General features: G+C 45.6%; 1 annotated feature.

The window, feature by feature from the left end:
• Nucleotides 7,326-7,375: a silencer, noted in NCBI's record as "silent region_11007". NCBI's record gives its function as "represses an Ori minimal core promoter by ATAC-STARR-seq in GM12878 lymphoblastoid cells {active_cell/tissue: GM12878}" and the evidence as "EXISTENCE:reporter gene assay evidence [ECO:0000049][PMID:35858748]".

Consider the following 7,426-nt stretch of genomic DNA (forward strand, 5'->3'; position numbering starts at 1 on the left):
CAGGCTGCAGAGCGAGGCGGAGCAAATTGTAGGCCCCGCCCTGCCCAGCCCAGCCCCGCCCCGCCCCGGGGATCCCTACCCCGCGGGCCACTTATCCACTTCCGTGCCACGCCCCTTGCCCTTCGCGCCCCGCCCTTCCTCGCCCGGGCCCCGCCCACCTTATCAGGGTTCCTCCCAGGCCTGGCTCCTGTCCTGCGCAGATTCGCACAGACACGGCAGCGGATCACCTCAGTGAAGGTCACACTGCAGCGCCTGAGTTTGGCTCTGTCTCTAGTTAAGTCGGCCCTTCGCAGGCCCCTGGCTCTGCTATACTTGGGACGTGGGGTCCCCAGAGACCTGGAAATTCCCACCCCCTTTTCTCCAAATAGAGCATATTGAGACTTCCCTGTGAGGGTCTGCAGGTCGCTTCCTTTTGGGGTTTTTTTTGCAGAGACAGAGTCTCACTCTGTCGCCCAGGCTAGAGTGCGGTGGCGCAATCTTGGCTCACCATGACCTCTGCAGCCCAGGTTCAAGCAATTCTCCTGCCTCAGCCTCCTGAGTAGCCAGGACTACAGGCACCTGCCACCGTGCCTGGATAATTTTTGTAGTTTTTGGTATAGACAGGGTTTCACCATCTTGGCCAGGCTGGTCTTGAACTCCTTGTCAGGCCTCTGAGCCCAAGCTAAGCCATCGTATCCCCTGTGACCTGCACGTGTACATCCAGATGGCCTGAAGCAACTGAAGATCCACAAAAAAGTGAAAATAACCGGTTCCTGCCTTAACTGATGACATTACCTTGTGACATTCCTTCTCCTGGACAATGAGTCTTAGAAGCTCCCCACTGAGTAAAAGGATATTAACCCCAGAGGCAACAAAAGAAATTAAATTAGTGGAAGAAAAAATTCAGTCAGCACAAATAAATAGATCCCTTAGTCTCACTCCAACTTTTGATTTTTGCTACTGCACATTCTCCAACAGGCATCATTGTTCAAAATACTGATCTTGTGGAGTGGTCATTCCTTCCTCACAGTACAATTAAGACTTTTACATTGTACGTGGATCAAATAGCTACATTAATTGGTCAGAAAAGGTTATGAATAGTAAAATTGTGTGGAAATGACCCAGACAAAATAGTTGTTCCTTTAAACAAGGAACAGGTTAGACAAGCCTTTATCAATTCTGGTGCATGGCAGATTGGTCTTACTAATTTTGTGGGAATTATTGATAATCATTACCCGAAAACAAAAATCTTCCAGTTTTTAAAATTGACTACTTGGATTCTACCTAAAATTACCAGACATAAACCTTTAGAAAATGCTCTGACAGTGTTTACTGATGGTTCCAGCAATAGAAAAGCAGCTTACACAGGGCCAAAAGAGCGAGTCATCAAAACTCAATATCAATTGGCTCAAAGAGCAGAGTTGGTTGCAGTCATTACAGTGTTACAAGACTTTGATCAACCTATTAATATTGTATCAGATTCTGCATATGTAGTGCAGGCTACAAAGGATGTTGAGACAGCTCTAATTAAATATAGCATAGATGATCAGTTAAACCAGCAGTTCAATTTATTACAACAAACTGTAAAAAAAAAAGAAATTTCCCATTTTATGTTACTCATATTCGAGGACACACTAATTTACCAGGGCCTTTAACTAAAGCAAATGAACAAGCTGACTTACTGGTACCATCTGCATTCATAAAAGCACAAGAACTTCATGCTTTCACTCATGTAAATGCAGCAGGATTAAAAAACAAATTTCATGTTGTAGGGTCCAGCCCCATAGGGTCGGTGGGTCTCTCCCCATGTGCAGAGATGAGAGAGTGTAGAAATAAAGACACAAGACAAAGAGATAAAAGAAAAGGCAGCTGGGCCCGGGGGACCACTACCACCAATGCACGGAGACCGGTAGTGGCCCCAAATGTCGGGCTGCGCTGTTATTTATTGGATACAAAGCAAAAGGGGCAGGGTAAAGCGTGTAAGTCATCTCCAGTGATAGGTAAGGTCACGTGGGTCACGTGTCCACTGGACAGGGGGCCCTTCCCTGCCTGGCAGCCGAGGCAGAGAGAGAGAGGAGACAAAGAGAAAGACAGCTTACACCATTATTTTTGCATATCAGAGACTTTTAGTACTTTCACTAATTTACTACTGCTTTCTAGAAGGCAGAGCCAGGTGTACAGGATGGAACATGAAGGCGGACTAGGAGCATGACCACCGAAGCACAGCATCACAGGGAGACGGTTAGGCCTCCGGATAACTGCGGGCGAGCCTGACTGATGTCAGGCCCTCCACAAGAGGTGGAGGAGCAGAGTCTTCTCTAAACTCCCCCGGGGAAAGGGAGACTCCCTTCCCCAGTCTGCTAAGTAGCGGGTGTTTTCCCTTGACACTTATGCTACCGCTAGACCACGGTCCGCCTGGCAACGGGCGTCTTCCCAGACGCTGGCGTCACCACTAGACCAAGGAGCCCTCTGGTGGCCCTGTCCGGGCATAACAGAAGGCTCGCACTCTTGTCTTCTGGTCACTTCTCACTGTGTCCCCTCAGCTCCTATCTCTGTATGGCCTGGCTTTTCCTAGGTTATGATTATAGAGCGAGGATTATTATAATATTGGAATAAAGAGTAATTGCTACAAACTAATGATTAATGATATTCATATATAATCATGTCTATGATCTAGATCTGGTATAACTATTCTTGTTTTATATTTTATTATACTGGAACAGCTCGTGTCCTTGCTCTCTTGCCTCAGCGCCTGGGTGGCTTGCCGCCCACAGATGTCACATGGAAACAGGCAAAAAATATTCTACAACATGGTACCCAGTGTCAAGTCCTACACCTGCCCACTCAAGAGGCAGGAGTTAATCCCAGAGGTCTGTGTCCTAATGCATTATGGCAAATGGATGTCACACATGTACCTTCATTTGGAAGATTATGATGTGTCCGTGTAACAGTTGATACTTATTCACATTTCATGTGGGCAACTTGCCAGACAGGAGAAAGTACTTCCCATGTGAAAAAACATTTATTGTCTTGTTTTGCTGTCATGGGAGTTCCAGAAAAAATCAAAACTGACAATGGACCAGGATATTGTAGTAAAGCTTTCCAAAAATTCTTAAATCAGTGGAAAATTACACACACAACAGGAATTCCCTATAATTCTCAAGGACAGGCCATAGTTAAAAAAAACTAATAGAACACTCAAAACTCAATTAGTTAAAGAGAAGGGGGAGACAGTAAGGAGTGTACCACTCCTCAGATGCAACTTAATCTAGCATTCTATACTTTAAATGTTTTAAACATGTATAGAAATCAGACTACTACCTCTGCAGAACATCTTACTGGTCAAAAGAACAGCCCACATGAAGGAAAACTGATTTGATAAAAAGACAACAACAATAAGACATGAGAAATAGGGAAGGTGGTAACTTGGGGGAGAGGTTTTGCTTGTGTTTCACCAGGAGAAAATCAGCTTCCTGTTTAGATACCCACTAGACATTTAAAGTTCTACAATGAACCCATCAGAGATGCAAAGAAAAGCACCTCCACGGAGATGGAAACACCACAATCAAACACCATCGATTCACAAGGTGAACAAAATGGTGATGTCAGAAGAACAGATGAAGTTGCCATCCACCAAGAAAGCAGAGCCGCCGACTTGGGCACAATTAAAGAAGCTGACACAGTTACCAAAAAAAAGCCTAGAGAACACAAAGGTGACACAAACTCCAGAGAACACGCTGCTTGCAGCTTTGATGATTGTATCAACGGTGGTAAGTCTCCCCTTGCCTGCAGGGGCAGCTGCAGCTAATTATACCTACTGGGCCTATGTGCCTTTCCCGCCCTTAATTCGGGCAGTCACATGGATGGATAATCCTATTGAAGTATATGTTAATAATAGTGCATGGGTACCTGGCCCCACAGATGATCGTTGCCCTGCCAAACCTGAGGAAGAAGGAATGATGATAAATATTTCCACTGGGTATCGTTATCCTCCTATTTGCCTAGGGAGAGCACCAGCATGTTTAATGCCTGCAATCCAAAATTGGTTGGTAGAAGTACCTACTGTCGGTACCACCAGTAGATTCACTTATCACACGGTAAGTGGAATGTCTCTCAGGCCACAGGTAAATTATTTACAGGACTTTTCTTATCAATGATCATTACAATTTAGGCCTAAACAAAAGCCTTGCCCCAAGGTAATTCCCAAAGAATCAAAAGGCACAGAAGTTTTAGTTTGGGAAGAATGTGTGGCCGATAGTGCGGAGATATTACAAAACAATGAATTCGGAACTATTATAGATTGGACATGTCGAGGTCAATTCTACCACAATTGCACAGGACAAACTCAGTCATGTCCCAGTGCACAAGTGAGTCCAGCTGTTAACAGTGACTTAACAGAAAGTTTAGACAAACATAAGCACAAAAAATTACAGTCTTTCTACCCTTTGGAATGGGGAGAAAAAGGAATCTCTACTCCAAGACTAAAAATAATAAGTCTTGTTTCTGGTCCTGAACATCCACAATTATGGATGCTTACTGTGGCCTCATATTGCATTAGAATTTGATCTGGAAATCAAGCTATATAAAGAAGAGATCGCAAGCCATTTTATACTATCGACCTAAATTCCAGTCTAACAGTTCCTTTGCAAAGTTGTATAAAGCCCCCTTATATGCTAGTTGTAGGAAATATAGTTATTAAACCAGACTCCCAAACTATAACCTGTGAAAACTGCAGATTGTTTACTTGCATTGATTCGACTTTTAATTGGCAGCACCATATTCTGCTAGTGAGAGCAAGAGAAGGCGTGTGGGTCCCTGTGTCCATGGACTGACCGTGGGAGGCCTCGCCATCCGTCCATATTTTGACTGAAGTATTCAAAGCCATTTTAAATAGATCCAAAATATTCTTTAATTGCAGTGATTATGGGACTAATTGCAGTCACAGCTACGGCCTCTGTGGCAGGAGTTTCATTGTACTCTTCTGCTCAGACAGTAAACTTTTTTAATTATTGGCAAAAGAATTCTACAAGATTGTGGAATTCATAATCTGGTATTGATCAAAAATTGGCAAATCAAATTAATGACCTTAGACACAATGTTGTTTGGATGGGAGATAGGCTCACGAGCTTGAAACATCATTTCTGGTTACACTGTGACTGGAATATGTCACATTTTTGTATTACATCCTAAGCCTATAATGAGTCTGAGCATCATTGGGACATGGTTAGATGCCATCTACAAGGAAGAGAAGATGATCTTACTTTAGACATTTCAAAATTAAAAGAAAAATTTTTGAGGCATCAAAAACCCATTTAAATTTGGTGCCAGGAACTGAGGCAATCGCGAAAGCTGCTGATGGCCTCGCAAATCTTAACCCGGTCACTTGGGTTAAAACCATCGCAAGTTCCACTATTGTAAATTTCATATTAATCCTTGTGTTCCTGTTCTGTCTGTTGTTAGTCTGCAGGTGTACCCAGCAGCTCCGAAGAGACAGCGACCATTGAGAATGGGTGATGACGACGATGGTGGTTTTGTCAAAAAGAAAAGGGGGAAATGTGGGGAAAAGAAAGAGAGATCAGACTGTTACTGTGTCTATGTAGAAAAGGAAGACATAAGAAACTCCATTTTGATCTGTATTAAGAAAAATTGTTCTGCTTTGCGATGCTGTTAATCTGTAACTTTAGCCCCAACCCTGTGCTCACAGAAACATGTGCTGTATTGAATCAAGGTTTAATGGATTTAGGGCTGTGCAGGGTGTGCCTTGTTAACAATATGTTTGCAGGCAGTATGCCCGGTAAAAGTTATCGCCATTCTCCATTCTCTGTTAACCAGGGACACAATGCACTGCGGAAAGCCGCAGGGACCTCTGCCCTAGAAAGCCTGGGTATTGTCCAAGTTTCCCCCCACTGAGACAGCCTGAGATATGGCCTCATGGGAAAAGAAAGACCTTATATCCCCCAACCCGACACCCGTGAAGGGTCTGTGCTGAGGAGGAGTAGTGAAAGAGGGAGGCCTCTTTGCAGTCAAGATAAGAGGAAGGCTTCTGTCTCCTGCTCATTTCTGGGAATGGAATGCCTCGGTGTAAAGCCGACCATTCATTCTATTCTGAGGTAGGAGAAAACCGCCCTGTGGTTGGAGGTGAGACATGCTGGCAGCAATACTGCTCTGTGACTCTTTGCTACACTGAGATGTTTGTGTGAAGAGAAACATAAATCTAGCCTACGTGCACATCCAGGCACAGTACCTTTCCTTGAACTTATTCATGACACAGATTCCTTTGCTCACGTTTCCCTGCTGACCTTCTCGCCACCATCACCCTGTTGCCCTGCCACACTCCCCTCACAAAGATAGTAAAAATAGTGATCAATAAATACTGAGGGAACTCAGAGACCAGCGCCGGTGCGGGTACTCGCACACTGAGCTCCGGTTGTCTGGGCCCACTGCTGTTTCTCTATACTTTGTCTCTGTGTCTTATTTCTTTTCTCAGTTTCTCATCTCCACCTGATGAGAAACACCCGCAGGTGTGGAGGGGCAGGCCCCCTTCAGGCTGAGGCAGGGGAATCACTTGAACCCAGGAAGCAGAGGCTTGCAGTGAGTCGAGATCCCACCACTGCACTGCAGCCTGGATGACAGAGAAATACTCTGTCTCAAAACAAAAGAAAAGAAATAAGTAAATACATAAAAGAAAGTAACAGATCTCTTCCACAAATGTGGAATGGACAACTAACTGGATATCCACATGGAAAAGAACAATGTTGGATCCCTATCTCATACAATCAACCTCTTATTTTAAAACGTAAAAAAAAAACAACGAAAAATAAAGAGAGAAAGAGAGAAACGAGGAAGGGAGCCCTGCGGGAGGGGGTGTTACTTTGTCGCCCAGGCTGGCCTGGACCCCCAGGTTCAGCGATCCTCCCGCCCTGCTTCCTGAGTAGATGGGACCTCAGGCTCCCGCGCCCGCGTCCGCATCCTTGCTGTGTTTATCCGGCAGGTGGTGACCTCACTCCTCGCTGGCCTGAGCACTCCGTCCAGCATCCCAGGCGGTGGCTTTAGGGAAGTCTCTGCAGCTGAGCACAGGGTGGACTCTCCCTCCGGAGTGAATGGAGAATAGAAAGGGAGAGGATTTCTATTCTATTCTCTGGGCCGTCAGCATGACATTGTAAGTTCTGCCCAAGCAGGGCTTTGCATTTCACATTCTACTTTGCATCCGCGTTTCAGACAATTCCAGGGCTTTTGAATCATGGATCGGCCTTCCTGGCCATCTCGCCTCCAAAACCCAAAAACAGAGGCGGTGGGAGGGAGGCTGAGAGACGCACAGATCCCGCCCCAGCCCAGCCCCGCCCCGCCCTCTGCCGGTACTAAAGGGCAAGGTCTCTCCGCCTCTACCCCTACCTGGCCCAGGCCCCGCCCACCTCCTCGCAGGCCCCGCCCAGGCCTGGCTTCTGTC

This window comes from Homo sapiens, chromosome 19 (assembly GCF_000001405.40).
Source record: "Homo sapiens chromosome 19, GRCh38.p14 Primary Assembly".
In the NCBI taxonomy this organism is placed as follows: Eukaryota; Metazoa; Chordata; class Mammalia; order Primates; family Hominidae; genus Homo; species Homo sapiens.